At 46.0% G+C, this 26652-nt stretch overlaps 2 annotated features.

The window, feature by feature from the left end:
* Positions 9888-10389: an enhancer, noted in NCBI's record as "H3K27ac hESC enhancer chr10:34331971-34332472 (GRCh37/hg19 assembly coordinates)". NCBI's record gives its function as "activates a minimal SCP1, AML or CMV promoter by ChIP-STARR-seq in naive H9 embryonic stem cells {active_cell/tissue: H9 hESC(naive)}" and the evidence as "EXISTENCE:reporter gene assay evidence [ECO:0000049][PMID:30033119]".
* Positions 23242-23741: an enhancer, noted in NCBI's record as "H3K4me1 hESC enhancer chr10:34318619-34319118 (GRCh37/hg19 assembly coordinates)". NCBI's record gives its function as "activates a minimal SCP1, AML or CMV promoter by ChIP-STARR-seq in naive H9 embryonic stem cells {active_cell/tissue: H9 hESC(naive)}" and the evidence as "EXISTENCE:reporter gene assay evidence [ECO:0000049][PMID:30033119]".

Raw genomic sequence — 26652 nt, 5'->3', positions numbered from 1 at the left:
TCAGTCTTGGTTTGACTTTAGGACCTTGACATTTTTGAAGATTACAGGCCAGATGAATGTAGAATGACTCTTCTCTGATGCATTTTCATGATTTGATTTTGATCATGTATTTTTGGCAGAAATATCACAGAGATGATACTATGTTCTTCTTAATGCATCCTACCAGGAGGTACACAACTTCAGCCAATTTGTCCCATTAATGGTGAGGTTGACTTCAATACTTGGTTATGATATCTATCAGACTCCTCCACATCACATTTATTCTTTACCTTTTGTAATTAATAAGCATTTTGAGTAGAGGAACTAGGAATTATGTAAGTATTCTGTTGCTCCATAAACTTTCAATCTATCCATATTTATATCAATATAGATTCCTGTTTTTCTTTGTTACTTATTAAGTTATTGTATCAATCTATTCAGTCTGTTCTCGCAGACAGGTATAAAAAAATACCTGAGACTGAGAAATTTACAAAGAAAAGAGGTTGAATTGGCTCATGGTTCCACAGGCTGAACAGGAAGCATAGTGGCCTCTGCTTCTGGGGAAGCCTCAGGAAGCTTTCAATCATGGCAGAAGGCAGAGCAGGAGTAAGCATCTTACGTGGCGGGAGAAGGAGCAAGAGGGTGGGGAGGTGCTACACACTATTAAACAACCAGATCTCATGAGAACACACTCACTATCATGAGAACAGCGCCAAGAGGATGGTGCTAAACCATTCATGAGAATCTGCCCCCAAAATCCAATCGCCCCCCACCAGGCCCCACCTCCAATACTGGGGATTACAATGGAAGAAAGATGAGATGTGGGTGGGGACACAGATACAAACCATATCAGTTATGATCCATTTTTAACATTATTTTGATTCTCTAAATGCCCTAGATTTGGCTTCTGTGACTCATTGTCCCCAGTTATTATTTGAACACTTCCTTCTTTTCTGGAACAATTAGATGTTTCAACTCATTCTTACTTTTCCTACCTGGCATGCAGTGATGACAATGGCTGCTGCCATTTCCCCAAGGAGCCCTGTTTCCTTTCAGTGGAGGAGGGTATTTAGAGGCCAACTTCTGGGTCCTGAGTGTGCCCATTACTATTGTTACTCTGTCAGTGGACAGAGAGTGACAGGGTATATATGTTTGTAGGGGATCAGTGTATGTACATGCAAACACACATATATATATACATACATTTACCTTTATACTCATGTCTACATCTATATCAAAGTCTATTTATCTATCCATCTATTTTGAAAATCCCAAGGAATCATATCAATACTTTCAGTTCCAATTCCTCTCTTTACATATTTATAACTTCCTTCTTTTGACAGCGAAAAACCTGAATCCCATTGTTCTTGTTTTTGGTTTGCTTGTTCTTTGTTTTGCTTGTTCTTTGTTTTTGGTTTGCTTGTTTCCTTATTTGCTCAATTGTTCTTGTTCTTGGTTTGCTTGCTTGCTTATTTGCTCAATTCTTTAGTATGTTTCCAGTGCTTACTGAAGCCATCCCCACACAGAGATCCCCTCACCCCACGCAGGCTCACCCCTACATCAACATTCACCCATACGTTGGTAATGCTTTTGAAAGGAACTATGTGAAGACAACAGTTAACAGTTCCTATTATTGCAGAAAGCTTTTACCAAACATGTACTTTGATTTTACACTTCTGAACACAGTGATCCCCTACTGATTCCCCTACTGCTGCCCCCCAAGGGAGGACACCCTCCTTCTGTGCTTGGGGTTTGATGCCCTTTGTAGGTGACCCATCTGAGAAGATGTCCTCCTCATCCTTTTTGGCCTCTTCATCACTCTGGACCGCTGCAGCTCCCTCACTCCAACTCTTGCTCTACCCCACCTGATAGCTCTAAGACTACATAGTTCAGGGAAGGGAAGGAAGAGGAAGGGCCACACCACATTTTATAATTTGGATTACAAGTCTTTTCTTAGTTGGAAAGATTATCTCAGTTAGTTTGAATCAGTCCCAAACTTGAGCTGGCTTCAACCCCATCCTTAGGATGAGACAGAAGCTTCCGTACTACACTGTGATGCTTTTGCTGTGGTTCTAGTGAAATAGCACCCTCTATTTTCTCTGAGTGGAGCACCAGGAGCAGAGGTTTCCTTCCTAGCTGCACACTGTTCACCAACTGCATTTTGAGTGCTCTTTTTCTCCTCCCTTTTCTTTGCTTCTGTATCCCAAATCCAACAACCAACCAACCAACCAAGCAATCAACCAACCAACAAACCAACCAAGCAATCAACCAACCAACAAACCAACCAACCAATCAACCAACCAACCAGCCAACTAATCAACCAACAACCAACAAACCAACCAACCAAAAGAACTTTCACAACCTTCAATGCTTCCTGCTGATGCAATGGTAAAGGATAATAACACTCTGGTTTTAAGTGAGAAACACACAAAAACCATAGCTCCTTTTCATTCCAAGTGTTACCTAAAAGACTACCATCTCACTCAGCCTCTTCATTATATCTGGCTGTTTCTTTCTTTCTTTCTTTCTTTTTTTTTTTTTGAGATGGAGTTTTGCTCTTATCACCCAGGCTGGAGTGCAATGGGGAGATCTCGGCTCACTGCAACCTCTGCCTCCTGGGTTCAAGCAATTCTCCTGCTTCAGCCACACGAGTAGTTGGGATTACAGGCGCCTGCCACCACGTCCAGCTATTTTTTTTTTTTTTTTTTTTGTATTTTTAGTAGAGACAGGGTTTCACCATGTTGGCCAGGCTGGTCTTGAACTCCTGACCTCATAATCTACCTGCCTTGGCCTACCAAAGTGCTGGAATTATAGGCGTGAGCCACCATGCCCAGCCTCTGACTGTTTCTTGATGTCTCACTACAACCATACCCTCCTTAGAGGAACGCTCTGCTCTTATTGTTTCTACCCCTTTTGGGTGGGCTATTTAAGCATACACGCTTGCCCCCCATAGATGCAGAGACATATGTTATATAAGTGTGAGGAACTGCACCGAAGTCATTATTCCACATCACGTTTCTGCTTTGCTGCCCACCGGCTTCTTGGTTTCTTGGCAACATTACTCATCCATTTCAGAATAAGGCTTATACTTAAAAGCATGGTCCTGGTTCCTTGTATTCAGAAGTGTAAAATAAAAGCAGATATTTGGTAAAAGCTTTCTGCAATAATAGGAACTTTAGACTGTTGTCTTCACATAATTCCTTTCAAAAGCATTACTAACGTATGGGTTAGCATTGATGTAGGCAATGTCGCTTGAAGTGGGAGGAATGATATTTACAAAATTCTCTTAGTTGTTGACGTTAGTTTCCTGGATTTTTTTCTTTTAAACAAACCTTAATGGAACAAATGAGATGACAAAATACGCTGAAAGCATCTGAAACACGAGATCCACCTACACTTAACCTCCAGAAATCATCTCGACAAGCCTGAATGCTTGTTTGCAGTGGGCGTCTCCAAGGCTGACTCACAACTCCTGCTCTGAGCTCAGGACCTCCGCGCTGATCCCTCACACACTCTCATCTTTTGCCTTGATGTCATCCAGCAAGGCTAAAGCAAGCCCCCTCTCAACTGTTCCGAACCCCTGGAACTTCTCTCAAATGAGTTTGGTTTTTGAATGGTGCCTGGAGGGAAGAATTTCCTAGCACTTGATTTACATTATTTTCCTACTGTGCTTTAGATATCATTTTAAAAATTCCATTCACACGACGAGAGGAAATAGTTTCAAGAAAGTAAAGGGGCTGAAAATCTATCTCCTCTGCATATCCCTAGTTCCCACTCTGCCCCACTGTCAATGACTCACAGAATCAGACCAGCAGGCGTGGCCAGAATGACCCTCTCTGGAGGCAACAAAGATGATTTTTTAAAAATTTTTAGTTTTTATGGGTACATAGTAGATGGATATATCTATGGAGTACATGTGATGTTTTGAGACAGGCATAGAGTGCATAATGCATCAGAGTAATTGGGGTATCTATCACCTCAAGCACTTGTCATTTCTTTGTGCAAAGATGATTTTTTAAAAACTAGATGAGAAGGGGATGTGGCTCTTTCAAGTGGCTTCATTCTTCTCCCCTTGTAAACGGCAAATTTGCTTCTCAGAGTTGGACGGAATGTGTTAAGAGTGTTGGGCATATGGCCTTAGTTTTCACTCTGTAGGCCATTGCTTTTCAGGAGAGAAATCTGGGTAGCAAGACAGTGTGCTTCATGGATGAGAAGGTGCCAGCAACTCAGGGTTCTCCTGGCAAGGAGGGGTGGTCGTTCCCAAGCAGGGGAGGTGCAGGGCATTGAGAACATCAGTGCTCAGAGTTCCTTAGGGAAGCTGGAGCCGTAATGTCCTAATTTTTCACAAGGCTAAACTGATAGAATTTGTAGACAGCAAAGTGCTTAAATTAAATCCAGCTCAGTCAAGTATGTCTAGAGATGTCCCTTGAAGAGATGCTTAGAGAAGTGATCAATATGGTCTGATCATGATCCTTAATGGGGCTGGTTTTCAGACTGGTGTGGAGAGAAAATGACTATTGTTTTGAAATTGGACAGCTCATGATGAAGTACCTGTTCTTTGTGTGTGAACCCGCACTCTGTTGATTGACAGGGGCAATGGACCAAGCTGCCCCGGTGAGCTGGTCCAACAGAAAAGACTTGTCCTTGGCCATGTGACATGCCCACCATTGCCTGACTGATAGGCTGAAAGGTCTGGGGCCATTATCATGTCCCTATTGTCTGTCTATCTGGTGTACCACCTAGAGCCCCACCATTCCTATTTGTGACGTGAAGCGGATGTCATGTGAAGACTTGTGGAAAATCAACTTGATATTGCCAATTCTATTGTTTAAGACTAAACACAGGACCCCGCCAAGTAGCTGATGGTCATCTACCATCATTATACTGGGTTCTTCAATATTTCTCTCACTAGTTAGCTTTCAATGCCCTACGTTTCTATCTTTAGGCAGCACTTTTAGTATCAAGATACCGAAGGTGTTAAAATGCACCCTGGGGCACATAAAAAATCTTCATACTTTATTAATACTGCTTTATGGGTTAATTGGTCACCTTAACTAGCCAAGCAGACCCCCCCACAAAATGGCACAGGAGGTAGGCACACTTTGGTCTGGGAGAAGGAAGGGATGGCTGGTAACTGGATTTTGTCTTCCCCTAATCAGAGGACAAAAACAGTCAACAATTACAATTAGCACCAACTTTGAAATAGACAAAGATAAGCTACTTTCCACTGAGAAAAGGGAGTCTTTTCTCAGTGAGGTTTCTGTGGGCTTATTCTTGGTGATAGTTGGGGGTACGGCTTGTAAGGCATTTGAAACTAACACCAAGAAACTTGGACTTTGGGGCCAAGCAGACCTCCCAGGTGTTCAGATGGGTAGAAGCCACCCCCTGAAAGGGGGGTGATAACTCAGGCATTCAACAAAAGCAGTTCAGGGAACATTATGCGGCTTTACATCTCTTCGTGTACGTAGCGGGCTTGGGAATGGTGCTGAACAAAACTAAATGATGTTCCAAGGCAGATGCTCTGAATGATCGTCATCTCCTGAACAACTGCCTTCCTGCTTGCTTGCCATGGGCTTGGGCACTACAACTTGGGCCCAAGGTCCCATGGCAGCACAGACAAGACCGAATTGCATGGAGATTTCCTGTCTCTGTGTCTTCTGCCCCAGCCGTCTCTCTGAGTGTTCCTTGGCTTGGTGTAGGTGCTGCATTATTGGTGATAGAGTGGACCACAAGACTGCCTAGAAAGACACTAAACTGGAGGCTTCTAAGCTTGAGCCAGAAATGAAAGCTAAGTAGAGTGATGAAAGCTCTTTTGGAAGGAGAAAATGTTCCCGCAGCCGCCTTCTCCTGCCACTGCTGTTTTCTGGTGTGGATGACAGAACTCAATAATCACGCGTGACTCCATGTTTACGCCTGGCTCCCAGCAGAAAAGTCTGTTGTGGATCTAAGAGTAGGAGTTTGGTAACATTTTGCCCTTGGGGGTTTGTGTGAAGGGAAATACGCAAAATCTTTTTTAGCTTTGACTTCTGTGATTCTATGGAAACAAGGCAGCAGTGCTGAGAATCCAATGAAAGATGGAAAAGCTAAGACGGCAAAGCTTTGAGGTCGAAAGAAGAGAGGGAGGGTGGGAGAAGGGATAATAGGATTTATTTGAGACTCTGCTTGGCTATTCACTTTTGTCTCCGAGATCTGAAGTAGGAACTTTTTCAATGGGCTGTTGATTTGGATCTGAGAGGGAGAGTTATTGGTTGTGTTTGGAGAACAGCTTTGGATAAGAGAGAGAAAGGGTATCTGGACACCCAATTGTCTGGGTATTTTCAACCTTGTCTTGTTAATAATGCTTTGGGGTCTTCCTGCCCCATTTAGAACAATGGAAGCATAAGACAAGATTTAATTCGAATTGTGGTTTTGATTTATTGTAATAGTGTGAAGGGAAAACCTCAAAGGCTCTGAAATTCAGTTCTGGGATTGTCTGTGTGCCCAGGTCTAAGACTCTGGTGGAGGTGCACGGTGCTTGCCCCATCTCCATCTGTGACACACGGCTGCATCTTCGGGACGCAAGCTGCATTTGTGGCAGATGGCCAGACAGCTCTCGGAGTTCAGAGTGAGTGTGTGGATATTTACATACACACAAACACGCCGGGAGCAGCTGTCTGCCAGTGTCTCCCTCGCAAAATGGAAGACACGGCCTCTTAGGTCAGTAGCCTTGAGCCATTGTCACCACACTCCCTGTACATCCTCTGACAGTGACCATCAAGGTGGAAGGAACACAGGGCTGGCCTCCCTGTGGGCCTGATCTTATCTTTCTCTGAGGGTCCATCTGAGGAGCCATCTTTCCCTCTTTGATTACACAAAGTTGTGCAGTTGGGGAGACAGATTGGAAATGAGGAGTGCTTGTGAGAAAGGTTGGTTATTGACCTCAGTGAATTTGAGACACCAAAGAATGTAGCCAGATGCTCAGTTCAGCGCCCGGGCTTGAACTTCAGAAGACCAGCTGGTATCAGTCTGATCTCCTTTACATTTCTCTGCTTTCTTCCATACCAGTGAAGTTTTGGATGTTAAATTATCTGATTAAAAAATAATATGTGACAAGCCATGGAAGAAGGGGAACTCTATCTAGGACTGAATACAAATGAGACAAATGGATGAGGATGTTACTCAGGCATTTAATAGAATCCACTTAGATCCTGTTATAGGAAAGATTCTGAAGATGTTTAACAAGTGCTTGTTTGCCAATATTCTCCTCTGAAAGCATTTCGGAGCTGGGGTGGCTGTCACCCTCCATGCTGAACATGCATGCTCGACACCCAGAGTCCCTTAGGAAGTCACCATGTCACAGTGATGACACTGGTGCAGGTGTACATGTAAATGTCGGCCTGGCTGCAACTTCCACTCACACGACCAGTACCTATGGGAATGGCAGGATCTTTCTGGTCAGCTGGTACTTGTGTGATAAACACTTCTATTTCTCTGCATAGTTGCGTAACCCATCACTAGTTTTAGCCTAAGCTTTTCTCCTTGAGACACTTCCATCACCTTCAACATCAGGGAATGTTGGGGGTTCAGGGAGTCTTAAGAGTCTGGCTCAACAAACATATGAAAAAGCCTCAATATCACTGATCGTTAGAGAAATGCAAATCAAAACCACAATGAGATACCATCTCACATGAGTCAGAATGGAGATTATGAAAAAGTCAAGAAACAACAGATGCTGGCAAGGCTGTGGAGCAATTGGAACGCTTTTTACACTGTTGGTGGGAGTGTAAATTAGTTCAACCACTGTGGAATACAGTGTGGTGATTCCTCAAAATCTAAAACCAGAAATACCATTTTACCCAGCAATCTCATTATTAGGTGTATACCCAAAGGAATATAAATCATTCCATTATGAAGATAAATGCACATGTATGTTCATTGCAGCACTGTTCACAATAGCAAAGACATGAATCAACCCAAATGCCCATCAATGATAGACTGGATAAAGAAAATGTGGTACATATATACCACGGAATAATATGCAGCTATAAAAAGGAATGAGATCATGTCCTTTGCAAGGACATGGATGAAGCTGGAAGCCATTATCCTCAGCAAACTAACACAGCAACAGAAAACCAAACACTGCATGTTCTAACTTATAAGTGGGGGCTGAACAATGAGAACACATGGACACAGGGGGAACAACACACACTGGGGCCTGTTGGCGGGGTGAGGAGGGAGAGCATCAGGATAAATAGCTAATGATGCACGTGGGGCTTAATACCTAGGTGATGTGTGGATGGGTGCAGCAAACCACCATGGCACACGTTTACCTATATAACAAACCTGCATGTCCTGCACATGTATCCTGGAACTTAAAATAAAATGAAGAATTTTTAAAAAGTTTGGCTCTGCTTCCAAACAGCAGTCAGAGAAAGAACTGAGAGCCTGATCGGTTGTTTAGCACGGATGCTTCTGTGCTCAGAATGAGGTAGTTGTCGCTGGGAAAAGTGATCCTGCAGTGATGCCTGATGGACGGCTCTCCTCTGCTTGACAGCTTGGCCTGGATCCCGAGTGTGTCTCGGTTGTATATCCCAAGTTCACTGGGCTTTAGGAATGCCACCCCTTTCATTCATGCCCACATTCCCAGGCATTTGTTCCAAAATGCTGCTTCGTGCTGGCCTGGCCCCTGCTGAGCCCCAGTTCCCAGCACAGACCTTCCCCTTTCCCTCTTTTTCTGTTTTGTTTTGTTTTTGAGATGGAGTCTCACTCTGTCACCCTGTGATCTTGGCTTACTGTAACCTCCGCCTCCCTGGTTCAAGCAATTCTCACACCTCAGCCACTTGAGTAGCTGGGATTACAGGTGCCGCCACCATATCTGGTTAACTTTTTGTATTTTAGTGGAGACAGGGTTTCGCCATGTTGGCCAGGCTGGTCTCAAACTCCTGACCTCAGGTAATCCTTCTGCCTCGGCCTTCCAGAGTGCTGGGATTACAGGTGTGAGCCACTGTGCTTGGCTTCCTTTTCCCTCTTGTAAACATCCTGTTGGGATCCTCTGGGTCTTTTCCAGCCACAGACCACAGTCAGGGTCCCTCCCCTGGCTTGTGCCAGCCAGTTTATCAGAGTTTCTGAACTGGACACCAAGGGCCTAGACTCCCCCTGGACACTGGCACACCCTCTCTGCAGAACTGTCTATGCCAAAGGGCCTCTTGGGATTTTCCTCTAGCCACAAACGTGTCTCTTCTGCATTTTCCTCACACCAATGGGAACCTGATGGCTCCACATTCATTTAACTAAGAGAAGCAGCTCAAGCTATTCTTTTCCTAAGAGTGAAAGTCAACTCTGGGCAGGGTGCAGTAACTCACACCTGTTATCTCAGCAGTTTGGGAGGCTGAGGCAGGAGGATCCCTTGAGGCCAGGAGTTTGAAACCAGCCCGGGCAACATAGTGACATCTCATCTCTACAAAAAATAAAAAACAAAATTAGCTGAGCGTGGTGGTGTATGCCTGTAGTCCTGGCTACTTGGAAGGTGAAGGCAGGAGAATCACTTGTGCCCAGGAGTTCAAGGCTGCAGTGAGCTGTGATGGTGCCACTGCACTCCAGCCTGCGCAACAGTGAAAGACTCCATTTCTAAAAACAATTTTAAAATGAAGAAAAAAGAGAATCAGCTCTGTATTTACTTGTTGGCTACACCGAGGAAGAGAGAAGCGTCTGAGCATCAGGTAAAACCCGCCCTTCTCAGCACTCTGCCTCGACTGTAAAGAATGGAGCAGAACTGTCCTGACTGAGACGGGTGTTCACACTCCGAGTGGAGTGGATGGAAGTGTGTCCGCAATGTCCCTAAATTCCACCCATGCAGACAGCATGCCCTTGGTCCAGGCAGGCCCCAGATGTCCCTGCTCCTTGCTTTTATAACATACTCCTTGTCCCTCCACCATCTGTCATGGTCCTGGGGGTCTCAGGGGTCTCTACTTCATTCAGCTCTCTCCTTGGGGAGCCTTTCATCTGCCGGTACACGGTCATGACACCTCACTCTGCCCCCAATGGCCCTTCACTCATTCTACATCACAAATGTCCGTTCTGTTCTTGTCTAGACCTACTAAAATATCATTTCCTTGAGGGAGGGGCTTTGTCTTGTTCATCCAAGTCCCTCCCCACTCCCTCAAATCTCTCAGCACAAATCTCTCTGCACACATCATGCAGCTGGCATCATGCAAATGTTTGACTCAATGGACTAAGGGCAGTCCAGGCAGCAGTCATGGGCGGCCAGAAAAAGGATGGAATTGACAGAAAGCCAGGGGGACAGGAGCTCTGGGGTAGTCGAAGGCAGCCTGGCAAACCCTGAAATGGTGTCATGTTTGGTGTCCTAGAATGCACTGTGTTGCGAAGTGACACCAGAGACAACATCCTCTTCCGGACAAAAACACTCTGTATGGACTTGGGAAAGTCATTTACTATTATTAACAAACAATAACTGTAATAGTTACCATGTTAGGAACTTTGCTTCCATAATCTAATTTCATCCACTCAAGAAAGCTAGTCAGTATTATTATTATTATTATTATTTTGACATAGGGTCTCACTATACAACCCAGGCTGGAGGGCAGTGGTGTGAACATGGCTCACTGCAGCCTCAACCTCCCCAGGCTCAGGTGATCCTCCTACCTCAGCCTCCCAAGTAGCTAGGACCACAGGCACACACCACCATGTCAGCTTAATTTTTGTATTTTTTGTAGAGACAGGATTTTGCCACGTTGCCCAGGCTGGTCTTGAACTCCTGAACTCAAGCAATCTGCCCACCTTGGCCTCCCAAAGTGTTGGGATTACAGGTGTGAGGCACTGCGCCTGGCCAGTAAGTATTATTATTTCTGATTCTTATTTTATTGTTTTATTATTTTATTTTTTTGACACTGAGTCTCGCTCTGTCACCCAGGCTGGAGTGCAGTGGTGCTATCTTGGCTCACTGCAACCTCTGTCTCCGGGCTTCAAGCGATTCTCCTGCCTCAGCCTCCCGAGTAGCTGGGATTACAGGTGCCCGCCACCATACCCAGCTAATTTTTCTATTTTTAGTAGAGACAGGGTATTGCCATGTTGGCCAGGCTGCTCTCGAACTCCTGGCCTTAAATGATCTGCCCACCTTGGCCTTCCAAAGTGCTGGGATTATAGGTGTGAGCCACCACCCCTGGCCTATTTCTGATTTTTAGATTAAACAGAAGCTCAGAATTTATACTTGGTAATTGCAGAGCTGAGATGCAAATGCATGAGTGTTGTGTTTCTGCTACATCAGACTGCCTCCCACTGGCCTCCTTGGCACCCCACTAAGCTGCCTCCAGGTTTCCCCCCAGTTCTTGGATCCCAAGGCTGGGCTCTGCAGTCAAGATGGCGATGCCCGCATTAGAGAGCACTGACGGAGTCCTTCCGTCTTCTCACCATCAGAGCCTGCCTGGATTGCTATGGTGGGCAGGATTGACAACCTCCAGATAACCCTTCTATAGCTTACATCACTTCTTGAAAGAATTCATTAATGCAAAATTTTATGAAGACATAAAATATGGGCTTAATGAGAAATACTGAACTTACACTGAGAAATGAGAGCTGCAGTTTGCTATCAGTTGCTTTTTTTTTTTTTGAGATGAGGTCTCACTCTGTTGCCCCAACAGGAGTGTAGCAGCACAATCATGGATCACTGCAGCCTCAACCACCTGGGCTCAGGCAATCCTTCCACCTCAGCTTCCCAAATAGCTGGGACTACAAGTGTGTGCCACTACTCCAGCTTAATTTTTAAAATTTTTTTGTAGAAACAGGGTCTCACTATGTTGCCCAGGCTGATCTCAAACTCCTGGGCTCAAGCAATCCTCCTGCTTCAGCCCCTCAAAGCGCTGGGATTACAGGCATGAATCCAAACACCCAGCCAGCTAACTTTAGCATAGCCATTATGCAATAAACCATATGCAATAGACATGGACATGGTTGGTGGCTTAGTTTCCTGTTGCTGCTAGGACAAATGACCACAAATTTAGTGGCTCAAAACAACACAAATGCATTCTCTTACAGATCTGGAGGTCAGACTTCTAAAATCAAGGTGTTTGCAGGGCTGATGCCTTCTGAAGATTCCAGGAGAGAGCCTGCTTTCTTTCTTTCTATTTTTTTTTTTTTGAGATGGAGCTTTGCTCTTGTCCAGGCTGGAGTGCAGTGGTACGATCTTGGCTCACTGCAACCTCTGCCTCCCAGGTTCAAGCGATTCTCTGCCTCAGCCTCCTGAGTAGCTGGGATTACAGGCACCTGCCACACACTGGGCTAATTTTTGTATTTTTAGTAGAGATGGGGTTTCACCATGTTGGCCAGGCTGGTCTTGAACTCCTGCCTTCAGGTGATCCGCCCTCTTTGGCTTCCCAAAGTGCTGGGATTACAGGTGTGAGCCACCGCGCCCAGCCTATTTCCAGGTTTTAAAGACTCCCGGCCTTCCCTGCTGTGTGGCTGCATCACTCTTATCTAATTCCATCACCACATGGTTTTCTTTCTCTTTTGACCTTCTTACCTCCCTCTTAAAATGACCCTTGTGATTCCAGAGTCCACCCGACAGTGTAGGATCATCTCCCCATTTCAAGAGCCTTCATTTGATCACATCTTCAAAGTCCCTTTTGCCAGGTAATAGTCACAGCTTCTGCAGAGTAGGACTTGCGCACCTTTGGGTGGCAGTTATTTGGCTTGCCATGGTTAGTTTCTGATTTCTCACTTCAACTAAGGAATAGGAAATGCTCTCTGCAAAGTACGGCTAAGAGAAGAGTGTCTGTTTTATTCAGATCCAGTGACTGTTCTAAGTTCTGTGTTCCATCTTAATTATTGCTTCCTCTCTTTGGTGGGGGATTGCCACCCTCCTCGTCCTCTCCTTACCCACCTCCTTCAACATGGCTCTGTGTTGAGGTGTTGCTTTTTGATATCTCACACATAACCAGAGGACGTTTAACTCCAGTGACATTTACCATGGAATTGCTAATGAGGCTTTGCTTAGCGTCAATAAACTCTACGAAATTCCAGCTGCCTGCTTTACTTAATACCCCAGAATGGCTGCTGGATGCTGCATCTCACCTTCCTACTTGACTTTGAGGGCTCAGGGCCTATTGCGCGTGAGTTCTCTGAAGAGCTGCAATTGCAAGGAGGTTGGGGACCCCTCTTGGCAGATGCCAACGCCAAGAGGCTTCCCAGAACGTCGTCAAAGCTCTCCTCTCTGGCTGATCAAGCATGTTTTTGTATAACAATCTCATGCTAAGGATGGTGTGAGCGAATCCAGAACTAATACTTTGCTAGAGAACAGTGGTTGGAGGGGAAAGAACTTCAATGATGAGCAGGTTTAGTGGTAAATAAAAGATATTTGTTCTTGCACATTCTCACAGCCCTTCGAGGCCAACAATACCATACCGATGCTTCCTCTATGCATTCACCTAAAAATGGAATTGGATCCAAGAGTGCCCTGGGCTGTCTGAAGAATTACATTTCTCTAGGCCCTTGAGATTGCTAAACACTCTGGAGTTTTTCAATCAACGGTGAGTTGGAAACTCATGGAGTAGCATACCCCATGTTTTACAAGGTGGAGAATTTCATAGTTGCTAGGATTTCTTGAAAGAAAATTAGGCCAGGCATGGTGGCTCACACTTGTAATCCCAGCACTTTGGAAGGCTGAGGCGAGTGGATCACGAGGTCAGGAATTTGAGACCAGACCAGCCTGGCCAACATGTCCAAACCCTGTCTCTACTAAAAATACAAAAATTAGCCGGGCATGGTGGTGCATGCCTGTATTCCCAGCTATTTGGGAGGCTGAGGCAGGAGAATCCTTGGAACCCAGGAAGTGGAGGTTGCAGTGAGCTGAGATAGTACCACTGCACTCCAGCCTGGGTGACAGAGCAAGACTCCGTCTCAAAAAAAAAAAAAAGAAAAAAGAAAATTAGTCAGATTCTGGGAGGAGATGGGGCTGGGGAGATATCTGCTTGCTTCTGTGGCTTGCAAGGGAAACCTGGGAAGTACATCACCCTTGAGTTCCCCAGTGGTGGCAAAGAGTCTGACATAGTCAAGCAGGTGGTGGTCACCCCCAGCTGGAAGGTGGGGGATGTGGGAATGGACAGGGGAGGTAGGGGAGAAAGCAGCAACGAAAACAGAAAGAGATTTGTTTTTCCCCAACTTTTTATTAAAAAAATTTTAATCTACAGAAAAGTTGAAAAGAAAAAAACCAGAGCAAATACCCTAGTTTTACCAATCATCGTTTAGCTACTTTTTTTTTTTTTAATAGGGTCTCACTCTGTCACACAGGCTGGAGTGGAGTGGTGTGACCATAGCTCACTGCAGCCTTGAACTCCTGGGCTCAAGGAATCCTCCCATCTCAGCTTCCCAAGTAGCTGGGACTAATAGGTGTGTACCACCATGCCCTGCTAACTTTTTTTTGTAAGATGGGGTCTTGCTGTGTTGCTTGGGATGGAGTGCAGTGGCATTCCTGGGCTTAAAGTGATTCTCCCACATCAGCCTCCTGAGTAGCTGGGACTAGAGGTGCACTCCACCACATCCTGCTATTTTTTTTTTTTTTTGGTAGAAACAGGGTCTTGCTATGTTGCCCAGGCTAGTCTCAAACTCCTGGCCTCAAGCGATCCTCCTCACTCAGCTTCCCAAAATATTGGGTCTACAGGCATGAGCCACCATACCTGGCCATAGCCAAGTTTGCTTTCTGTCTCTCACACACACAGATAGATATGCATGTATACATATATTTATATGTATATGTCTCTATATATGCATATATGTAAAAACATACACATATATACGCCTTTTTTCTGAGCTGTTTGAAAGCAAGTTTAAGATGTCATGACACTTCATGCCTAAATACTTTGGCTCATGTAGTTCCAAAGACCAAGGACATTCACATATATCACCACACCATTATGATTGCACCTAGCTATAATATTTAATATACAGCTCCATTCACATTGCTTCAAATACCCAAAGTTTTTTTTTTAACTTTTGTTTTTCAATGCATAAGAAGGAAAGATTTGTAATAGCTTTTTTTCTTTCCTTGAAAGTAGAAAAATTGGGGCTGGGCGTGGTGGCTCATGCCTATAATCCCAGCACTTTGGGAGGCCAAGGTGGGCAGACCACTTGAGGTCAGGAGTTGGGGACCAGCCTGGCCAACATGGTGAAACCCTGTCTCTACTAAAAATGCAAAAATTAGCTGGGTGTGGTGGTGCTCGCCTGTAGTCACAGCCACTCGGGAGGCTGAGGCAGGAGAATCGCTTGAACCCGAGAGGCAGAAGTTGCAGTGAGCTGAGATCGTGCCACTGAACTCCAGCCTGGCGACAGAGAGAGACTCTGTCTTAAAAAAAAAAAAAAAAAAAAAAGAAAAAAAGAAAAAGAAAAAAAAACACAGAAATTGGAGAAGCAGGAGAAATGCCTGCAAAAGATTATTAGGAATCTTTTTGGTATAAATTATTCTTTAAAAATCACACCCTGTCATTGTCATGGAATCTATTCTAAAAAAATTTATTCGTGGATTCTGGCAACAGACTATTTCTTTGAATTCAAGTTGACAGAAAGACCAAGTCTTGATAGACCACGGTGGTTTTTTAGTTTTCTTTTTAGTTTTTTTTTTAAATTTATTTATTTACTTTGTGGAGAGACTTCATATGCTAGAATAACGATAGCTACTCTTACTATTTAATCCAGTGGTTGTCAGACTTTAGGGTTCTTAAGAATCACTTAGAGCGTTTATTAAAAACACAGATGCTTGGCCTCTGCCACCAAATATTCTGATTTAGGAGGCTTGGGGAAAGGCCCAGAAAGCTGCAGTTTTAAAGAATAGTCCAGGGGGTTCTGATACTTGCAGAAAGAATGACTTAATCTGGTAGGCCTATTACAGGTATACCTAAAAATAAAACTCTTCAAAAATCACACCCACACCCACATTTAATTTCAAGTGGGTGATTTATTAATGATGAGATTTTAGGTTAAAAAAAATTGCAGGCCTGGTGCAGTGACTCACACCTGTAACCCCAGCACTTTGGGAGGCTGAGGCAGGTGGATCACCTCAGGTCAGGAGTTTAGACCAACCTGGCCAACATTGTGAAATCCCATCTCCACTAAAAATACAAAATTAGCTGGGCATGGTGGCGTGTGCTTGTAGTCCCAGCTACTTAGGAGGCCGAGACAGGAGAATCACTTGAACCCTCAAGGTGGAGATTGCAGTGAGCGGAGATCACGCCATTGCACCCAAGCCTGGGCAACAAGAGCAAAACTCCATCTCAAAAAAAAAAAAAAAATTGTAGCTGGGTGTGGTGGCTCATGCCTGTAATGCCAACACTTTAGGAGGCTGAGGTAGGAGGATCACTTGAGCCTAGGAGTTCGAGACCAGCCCTGGCAACATAGTGAGATCTTGTCTCTACAAAAAATTTAAAAATTTAGCTGGGTATGGTGGTGTGCACCTGTAGTCCCAGCTACCTGGGAGGCTGAGGCGAGAGGATCCCTTGAGTCTGGGAGGTCAAGGCTGCCATGAGCTGTGGTTACATCATTCCAGCCTGGGCCACAGAGTGAGACCTTGTATCAAAAAAAAAAATTCTGTCTGGGTGCTGCGGCTCATATCTGTAATCCCAGCACTTTGGGAGGCTGACGTGGATGGATCACCTGAGGTGAGGAGTTCAAGACCAACCTGGCCAACATGGCAAAACCCTGTCTCTATTAAAAATACAAAAATTACATGGGCATGGTAGTGTGTCCAGAATTAGTGTGTTCTTCGTCTCACTGACTTCAAGAATGAAGCCGCAGACCCTCATGGTGAGTGTTACAGTTCTTAAAGGTGGCGTGTCTGGAGTTTGTTCCTTCTGATGTTCAGATGTGTTTGAATTTTCTTCCTTCTGGTGGGTTTGTGGTCTCATTGGCTCAGGAGTGAAGCTCCAGACCTTCACGGTGAGTGTCACAGCTCATAAAGGCAATGCGGACACAAAGAGTGAGCAGCAGCAAGATTTATTGCAAACAGCAAAAGAACAAAGCTTCCACAGTGTGGAAGGTGACCCGAGTGGGTTGCCACTGCTGGCTCAGGCAGCCTGCTTTTATTCCTTTATCTGGTCCCACCCACATTCTTATGATTGGTCCATTTTACAGAGAGCTGACTGGTCTGTTTTGATAGGGAGCTGATTGGTGCATTTACAATCCCTGAGCTAGACACAAAAGTTCTCCAAGTCCCCACTAGATTAGCTAGATACAGAGCACTGATTGGTGCATTTACAAACCTTGAGCTAGACACAGGGTACTGATTGGTGTGTTTACAAACCTTGAGCTAGACACAGAGTGCTGATTGGTGTATTTACAATCCTTCAGCTCGACATAAAAGTCCTCCAAGTCCCCACCAGATTAGCTAGATACAGAGTGCTGATTGGTGCATTCACAAACCTTGAGCTAGACACAGGGTGCTGATTGGTGTATTTACAATTCCTTAGCTAGACATAAAGGTTCTCCAAGTCCCCACCAGATTAGCTAGATACAGAGTGCTGACTGGTGTATTCACAAACCTTGAGCTAGACACAGAGTGCTGATTGGTGTATCTACAATCCCTTAGCTAGACATAAAGGTTCTCCAAGTCCCCACTAGACTCAGGAGCCCAGCTAGCTTCACCTAGTGGATCCTGCACCAGGGCCACAGGCGGAGCTGCCCGCCAGTCCCGTGCCATGTGCCCGCACTCCTCAGCCCTTGGGCAGTCGATGGGACTGGGTGCCGTGGAGCAGGGGGCGGCGCTCCTCGGGGAGGCTCGGCAGCGCAGGAGCCCACAGCATGGTGGCAGAGGCTCGGGCATGGCGGGCTGCAGGTCCCGAGCCCTGCCCTGTGGGGAGGCAGCTGAAGCCTGGCGAGAATTCCAGCACAGTGCTGGCACTGCTGGGGGACCCGGCGCACCCTCCACAGCTGCTGGCCCAGGTGCTAAGCCCATCACTGCCCGGGGCCGGTGGTGCTGGCTGGCCGCTCCAAGTGCGGGACCCGCCGAGCCCACACCCACCTGGAACTCACAGTGGCCCGTGAGCCCCACGTGCAGCCCCAGTTCCCACTCCCGCCTCTCCCTCCACACCTCCCTGCAAGCAGAGGGAGCCGGCTCCGACCTCAGCCAGCCCAGAAAGGGGCTCCCATAGTGCAGCGGCAGGCTGAAGGGCTCCTCAAGTGCAGCCAGAGTGGGCGCCAAGGCTGAGGAGGTGCCAAGAGTGAGCGAGGGCTGCCAGCACACTGTCACCTCTCAATCCCCCCTCAAACAGGACACCCCAACTGCTGTTGGGAATTTGGCTGATGACTGCTCTAGCTACTTCCTGCTGGATAGGGGCGATGAAGGGGCCCTGCAGTTGTACTGTCCTCCAGAGGGGAGCTTTCTAGGCCAGTAAAAGTGCCAGCGGGTTGGTCCAGGGGTCCTCAGTAGAAGTTGTTAGTTGAACTCATTTAGGGCTCCATTTGTAAGACCATCTGTAGCTTGATGGCCTCAATTCTAGAGGAATAGCTTAAGGAGACTAAAGAGACAATTTAAAAGAGATATGAATATACTTAGATTGGATTAAGATTTAGAGATGAGGGGTGAAGTAAATTATCTATCTTGAGTTCCTTTTTTAGAAAGGTGATCTAAAATACTATCTGAGCATAATCACTTAGTGACACCATGGAGGAGGAACTAGCCAGGTGGTTCAATGACCATAATAAGGACTATGAAGCTGTATCTGGGTGAAATACAACTGCATTAATTCAGATTTGGATGGATTTACTAATAGCTCCTAGTCTATCAATACCTGTGCTCTGGTGACTTTGATAGGTTTAAAAGCCCATAGGAAAGCGTTTGATGAATCTCAAGAATTTTGCATTTCATATGTGTAAGAAGTAGACATGTTAATAAAACCTGATAACCTTCCAAGAATCCTTTTGCTGGAGAATAATAATATGATATCAATTTTCTCCAGTCTTTCCATTTCCCATTTTATCCTTACCCTCATTCAAGCTGTGGGACGATTCTGTAACCATTGATCTTGAAGGGGGAATGAGAGTAGAAAGCAGAGAAAAAGATGCCTCTTTCTGGACTTTTAATGAAATTCGAATGGGAAAGGCAAGGACTCATTTGTGAGAGAATCTTATGAGTAAGAACATGGCTCCTCACCTCATCCTCCCTCTCCTCAGCCTCTTGCACAACTGTCTAGGGTGGTCCAGGGAGAGAGGGAGGATGGAGTGAAGGTCTGGAGGCCCCACAGGAGATGAGACCAGGCAGTCGGGAAGGAGATTCATGCACGTTCTGCCTCTCCTAGGGTGAGCCACACCAAGCATCCCACCCATGGCTGCTCAGCTGATGGAGGCCTGTCTTGGCCTCCACCAATGCTTTGCATTCTGATTAGCCTCAAGTCGGGGACCTCCCTGAAAATATCCCTGCAAATGCTTAAGGAAGGAGGTGGGGCTCTGGATACCTATCCTGGGAATGAAAGGGAAAAAGACTCCCCTCCTACCTGTACTCAGCTGGGCTCAGTAACAAGCTGAAGGTCCCTCTGAGCTAGGGTAATTGTAAAGCACGGCCTTTTACACAAGCACATTGATGGCATCTTATTTTTCCCTGTAATGGTGCCATTTTTGTATCAATATCAATATATTGACACTGGAGATAAGAGAGCAGATACTTAATCTCTTATAGTTTTAAAATGGGTGAAATAAATGCCTCTGCTAGCGTTGGCTTTTCTGAAACACACATATAATCACATCATTTCTAAAGTGAAATCTTGGCCAGGCCTGCTGGCTCACATCTGTAATCCCAGAACTTTGGAAGGCCAAGGCAAGAAGATTGCTTGAGGCCAGGAGTTTGAAACCAGCCTGGGCACTAAAGCAAGACACCATCCTTACAAAAAATAAATTAGCCAGTCATAGTGGTGCACACCTGCAGTCCCAGCTACCCCAGAGGCTCAGGCAGGAGAATCCCTTGAGCCCAGGAGTTGGAGGCTGCAGTGAGCTATAATTACACCACTGCACTCCAGCCTGGGCGACAGAGTGAGACCTTATTTCAAAAAACAAAAACAAAAACAAACAAACAAACAAAATAAAATAAAATTGTTGGGTGGGGGAACCCTACCTGCTTGTAGGACGCCTCCCAAGCATGGTGAGTAATGCCATTTCTAAGAGGCCCATTGCGTCATTCCAGCCCCTGTGGCCACTCCTCATCCCCTACACACCTCTCACTGAAGGCAGGCACGTGAGGTTAGTCACTGCCCCTAAAGAACTCACGTGTCTTCACTCTTCTGTGGCTATGCTCAGGATCTCCCCTGCCAGGAAAGTCTGTTCTTCTGCACTCTCACTTAACCCTGCTTCCTGCAACCCCCCACCCCCACCATACATACCTGGTATCTAGGAAAACCCTAGCTCCCACTCAAAGCCCAGGGTAACATCACTTCCTAAATTAACCTTGACCCTGCCTCCCTCCACCAACCCCACTTCCGGGAACAATCATGCTCGTGGGTGTTATAAGACTTAGGTCTGTTAAAAAACAATTAGACAATTAAATGTCTTTATTTTTATGTATTTATTTATTTTGTAGAGACAGAATCTTGGTATGTTGCCCAGGCTGGTTTTGAACTTCTGGCCTCAAGTCATCCTCCTGCCTCAACCTCCCAAAGCACTGTGATTATGGGCATGAGCATAGACAATTAAATTTAACAGAGCGAAGAACAATTCATGAATCAGGCGGCATTCAGAACCAGAAGAGAGGTCCACTCAGCAGCATGACCAGCAAGCTTTTATAGGATGAACAGAGAAGCGAAGTAGAGAAATCATCTAATTGGCTACAGCTAGGCATTTACCTTGTTTGGGCATGAGGTGATCAGTTGGCTGTCTATGATTGGCTGAAGCTTGGCTGTTTGTAACAGAAAGATATTCCTAAACTAGGTTTTTGTTTGTTTACTTACTAAGTTAGGTTACAGTTTGTTACATAGAAACTCAAAACATAGAGCCAGCCTCACATCAGTACTGATGCTGGTTCCATACTTTGGAGATAGCCATCTTCATCATCTTCATCATGATGAAGATGCATTGAGAACCTGTTAACTAAGCAGGAAGCCATTGGCCTGGTAAACTCATCCTTGCAATAGAGTTGTGCTTCCTGAAAACACATTCATTCCTGAATGAGAATGAAATGTCCTTCTCATTCTGGTCTTGCAGCTGGCATAGAGGTTTGTGTAGAGAAGTCATATAATTGACATTAGTTGAATTTAATGGAAATGATAAGAAAGTAATTCTTTAATGGTTGTTTGTCTATATGGATATATCTTAGGTATAAGATACTTATTGTGTTGTTATCCATGCTTCAAGAAGAATCCAATTAACAGGATTCCAGGAGGTATCCTGCAGGAAAGGCTGTCTAACAGTCTTTCATGAGTGCTTGAAAATCCATGACAGTTTATGTCTTTGCACCAAAACTTTCAACAACCATTTATGCATCTACTATGTGCTAGACACTGCCCTGGCTCTATGTCTACTGTTCCAGTGTAAGTTAGAGGTAGCAAGGAGGTTCAGAAGGAAATGCAGGAAGCCCAGCTACTTTGAGTCCTTTTGCCATTCCTATCCAGTTCACAGGGCCCCAAAAATATTCCAAGGTGAGAGCAAGTTTGGGATTCCCTCCAGGGAAAGAGAGGAGACACCATGGTGCAGAAATCTGTGACTGCTGGCAATGTTGAGCCCAAAGTGAGCTAATGCCTTTGTGCTTCTGAGAGGAAGGTCAACGGAGAGTGGAGGCGAGATTTCTCTTGTGCAGTGTAAGTGGGCAGTAGAAGGAAGAAGTGAGCTTTCACATCCTGTGCTTGGCATGAGGCCTCTGGAAGTGACAGACGTTCCAGGCCTTTTGCTTAAGACCTGATTGAGTCATATTTGGCCAGAGAGAAGCTCTGCAGCAGGGAAAATTTTGGCAAACTTTCATGATCCTTTGCCACAGATGGAAGTCACATTTTCATAGATAGAGGATGGTTAGGATGGGGAACAAGGCTCAAAAACAGAGACTCAAAGCCCATGCATCCACCCTCAAACTCTAAATCCCAATATATCCCTGGCACCCTGCTCTGCACTGTGCAAAAGTCACCATGACTCGGATGAGCACCTTATCCTTAAAGAGTCTGTGTAACACAACGCAGAGAAAAAGGCTAATATGCACCAGCAATTAATCGACTGCTCCAGTGAAGAAAGTTAAGTACTGAAATAAATGGCCCTTCCTTCTCTGGTCTATCACTTGCTTGGCCTGTGGAATATTCTGCAATGCAGGCCTGGGCTTAAGGGGAGCAGAGCCCAAGGGAGACCCCACTTGCACAGCCACACTAATCTCCTGTCTGCCCTCCAGCCATACCTGCCCTCTAGGCCAGATTGCCAAGGCCTGGTTGTAGGGTACAGTCCTATAGGAACATTCCCTGTGCTGGGAGCAAAGCCGGGCAGATGGAGATGTAAGAAGAGAGTAAACATCCATGGGGGAATCCTGCAGCTCAGGACACACACCTGATGGGTCTGAACCTCTCCAGGGACACTTGCTTGTCCTTACAGCCACTGATGAAATAGGAAAGATAATGGGAGAAAAATCACTGTGAACTATTCTGATAACATTTCTGACCCTTCCATCATGCACTCAAACTTTAAGTTCAATCATCTGTGTCTCTTGTAGACGCCACAGCAGGGCTAGATGCAGACGGGTTCTGGCACCAGTGAGCCCTACAGGGTGTTGTTGGCCTGTGTGTGTCTGGTTATGTAAAACCATCAACTGTTCTTCCAGAATTAATTCTTCCCTTTGCTCAATCTATCTTGATCTTCAGCCTTCTTTCACCAAATTGCTTACTTGTCCTGGGTCACTGCAGCCCTTGCTAACATCATTTTCATTCCTACCCCCCTTTCTTTTGTAACACGTTAAAAATTTTTTTGAATTTTTATTTTTATTTTTTAGAGACAGGGTCTTGCTCTGTTGTGCAGGCTGGAGTGCAGTGGCGCCATCATAGCTCACTGCAACTTTGAGCTCCTGAGCTCAAGTGATCCTCCCACCTCAGCCTCCCAAGTAGCTGGGACTATAAGCACACCCAGCTATCACCTCTTTGTAAAATGATGAAAATTCTTTTCAAGACTTGACATTTACACTTGAGAATAGAGAACAGCAAGGGGAAAAGAGGCCAGGCACAGTGGTCACACCTGTGATCTCAGCACTTTGGGAGGCCAAGGCAGGAAGACTGCTTGAGCCCAGGAGTTCGAGATCAGCCTGGCCTGCTCTAATGAGATCTTGTCTCTACAGAGAAGTAAAAAATATTAACCGAGCATGGTGGCAGTCACCTGTGGTCCCAGCTACTTGGGAGGCTGACAGGGGAGGATCGCTTGAGCCTGGGAGGTCAGGGCTGCAGTGAGCTGTGATTGCACCACTGCACTCCTGTCTGGGCAACAGAGCCAGACCCTTTCTCTCTAAAAAAATTAAAAGGGGAAAAGACATGTTTTCAGCTATTTATACAGCTCCCCAAGGCAAGGTCGAGATGATAATTGGAGCAAAGCCACCTGAACACCTGTCTTTGTTCTAAACCGTAGGGCAGTGTGAAGGGCTGACACACTGTGGTGGCTGAGTGGGGCCCTGTCTCATTCCATGGGGCAGGTGCTATGTTGTAAGTTTCCCACTCCTGCTATTTTCTGTTTTCTCTGCTCTCAGAGGCCAGGCTGCTCCCAGGACAGGAGCAGCTGCTGCCAGCTTCTGCGCCAGGGCCTGGGAATTCCTTCCCAGCAGGGGACTCATGGTGGCACGCACATCCTTGTTCCCCCCTTCCTCTCCTGCTGGCTGGCCCCTCGGCGGGACAGGACACCACGGGGTGATGGAAGGAGGCAGTCCCACCTGGGGAGCAGAGCACAGATTGCTTCGACTGACTCATGCCTACTGCAGAGGCCACCAGAGTGTTAGCATCAGGTCAACCCGAGGAACTGAGAAGCAAGCGTGATCTTCCCTCGTGGTAGGCCTAGCATGTGACTGTGAGTGTGGCGATCAAGAGATGATGTGCCCACTGACTCACACCATCCTTTCTGACAATGACAGTGAGGGACAGAGGATGGAGAACCCCTTGGTGAAGGCCGCCATGCTTACCAGCTTTGCGCCTTCCCTGCAGCAATCAGGATGGGTTTTTGCTTTGAAATGATATTTGGTGCATCTTTGAAAACACTGGATACCAGCACTGTACTTAATTCATTCTCTTGTTCACTGTTTCCTTAAACACATACTGAGGGCCTTCCATGAATAAGGTCATCAGGTTGTGGGTGGCACTGAGCACACTCATGTGGGGGGTTGGCAACACTGTCAGGTAGACCAGGGACAGAGGCCAGGACCAGATGGCTCGAGGAGAAGATCTCAGCCGCGGAGGCTGCCTGACTGCTGAGAAGCAGCTCAGTGACCATGGAGTGGTGGCCAGGTGGAGGGGAGCTCAGGTCATGATGCTACACTTTCTTTAAAAATAAGTTTTTTTCTTTGACAGGATCTTGAAAAAACACTTTAAAATGTGTATCTTTCCCCCATTTGAATATATGCTCCACAAAACGGATTAATTTCTTCTTTCTCTTTTTCCTAGAGACAGGGCCTCACTCTGTTGCTCATGCTGGAGTGCAGTGGCATGATCACAGCTCCCTGCAGCCTCAACCTCCCAGGCTCAAGTGATCCTCTCACCTCAGCTTCCATAGCAGCTGGGACTACAGGTATGCACACCACACCTGGACTTTCTTTTTTTTCTTTTTTTTGAGACAGGATTCCATTACGTTGCCCCGGCTGGCTTCAAACTCCTGTCCTTCAGTGATCCACCCACCTCAGCCTCCCAGGGAGCTGGGATTACAGGCATGCACCACTGCACGCAGCTATAATTTCTTACATGCTTACTATGTGCCATTCAACTCTCACAACAACTCTATAAGGCAAGCGTTATTCTGTTCATTTTGAAGATGAAGCTACTGAGCCTTAGAAAGGTTAATTTTCCCAGCTAGGTGCGGTGGCTCACGCCTGTAATCCCAGCACTTTGGGAGGCCAAGGCAGGTGGATCACCTGAGATCAGGAGTTCAAGACCAGCCTGGCCAACATGGTGAAACATACAAAATTACAAAAATACAAAATTACAAAAATACAAAATTTAGCTGGGCCTCATGGCAGGTGCCTGTAATCCCAGCTACTCAGGAAGCTGAGGTGGAACAATCGCTTGAACCTGTGAGATGGACGTTGCAGTGAGTCAAGATCATGCCATTGCACTCCAGCCTGGGCGACAGAGTGAGAGACTGTCTCAAAAAAAAAAAAAGTTAATTTTCCTAAGGTCACATTCATTACTTGATGGAAGTAGGACTTAAGCCCAAGTCTTCTCAACGCACAGCTTAAACTGAAATCCACAGAGCATGCATGAGTGTGGTTATGGCAGGTGTCAGTCAAGGCTCTCTCATTGGATGGGCTGTGCATGGCTGTATGTGTCAAGTTGGCAGGCAGGGGAATGGAATTAGGAATTGTTTTCAATTGTGGCAGGGCCCAATGAGCAAGAAAGATAATTTGCAAGAATGTGGTAGGGTGTCACGCCAGACTGGACGGGGCTCCAGTTCCAATAGAAACACAGAAAAACAGGCAGGAAACAGAGAGGACACATGGTTGTGACAATTCAGGTGGCCTGATTATGCAGGTGGGTGGGAAAATATTGTCCAGCACCTACAGGCAAAGATGACTTGAAATATTTCATTATTCACATACTTACAGCCCAATACATAAGAATGGACACTAAATTTAGCCTCAAATCAAATTCCCAGGGAGCTTTGCTAGCCAGAAGTTATATACTAACCTTTCAATTGCTGGACACTGGAGGTAAGGGGCAAGGTGAGGGGTATTGGGGCATAAGTGTCAGTCCTGCTGTTAGGACTGCCCACACTCATGCCTGGCACAGTGGCATGAAGGCCCTGTCATTCTGCTGTGTCCTAGTAGCCACACCTGTGCCTTATGTAATAATACTAGCTCTCAGCCAGGCACGGTGGCTCATGCCTGTAATCCCAGCACTTTGGGAGGCAGAGGTGGGTGGATCATTTGAGATCAGGAGTTCGAGACCAGCCTGGCCAAACTGGTGTAATCCCATCTCTACTAAAAGTACAAAAATTTTAGCAGGGTGTGGTGGTGCGTGCCTGTAACCCCAGCTACTTGGGAGGCTAAGTCAGGAGAATCGCTTGAACCCGGGAGGTGGAGGTTGCAGTGAGCTGAGATTGCACCACTGCACTTCAGTCTGGGCAACAGAGTGAGACTCCATCTCAAAAAAAAAAAAAAAAAATACAAGCTCTCCAAGAGGAAGCTCATTTCAATTGCAGCACAGCCTTAGTGAGACCAAGGCAGCCAGTGCCTTTTATCCCCTGGCAAAAATGAGGTGGCCCTGGGCAGAGGCCTGCTTCCAGGAGGAAGGCAGGTATCAGCTGCCCCAAGAGGTGGGGAAGGAGGGCCGGGCAGAGGCACTGTTAGTTGCCATAATCACCTTCAACTCTTTCTCCAGCGTTTACTACACTTTTCACATTCATGCCAGAAACTGAGCACTTCTAGTCTTTGACTTCTAGAAGCTTCAGTTCTGAGTCGAGTACCTACCAGGGTATGCATTTACATGGTGCTGGGAAATAGCTGGCAATAGTAGGAAATAATATCCAGCTGCCCTGTCACCAATATAAAGTAGA

The sequence above is a fragment of the Homo sapiens genome, chromosome 10 (genome assembly GCF_000001405.40).
Source record: "Homo sapiens chromosome 10, GRCh38.p14 Primary Assembly".
Lineage (NCBI taxonomy): Eukaryota > Metazoa > Chordata > Mammalia > Primates > Hominidae > Homo > Homo sapiens.
Note: the sequence above shows the minus strand (reverse complement) of the source record. Positions and strands in the feature narration are given on the sequence as shown.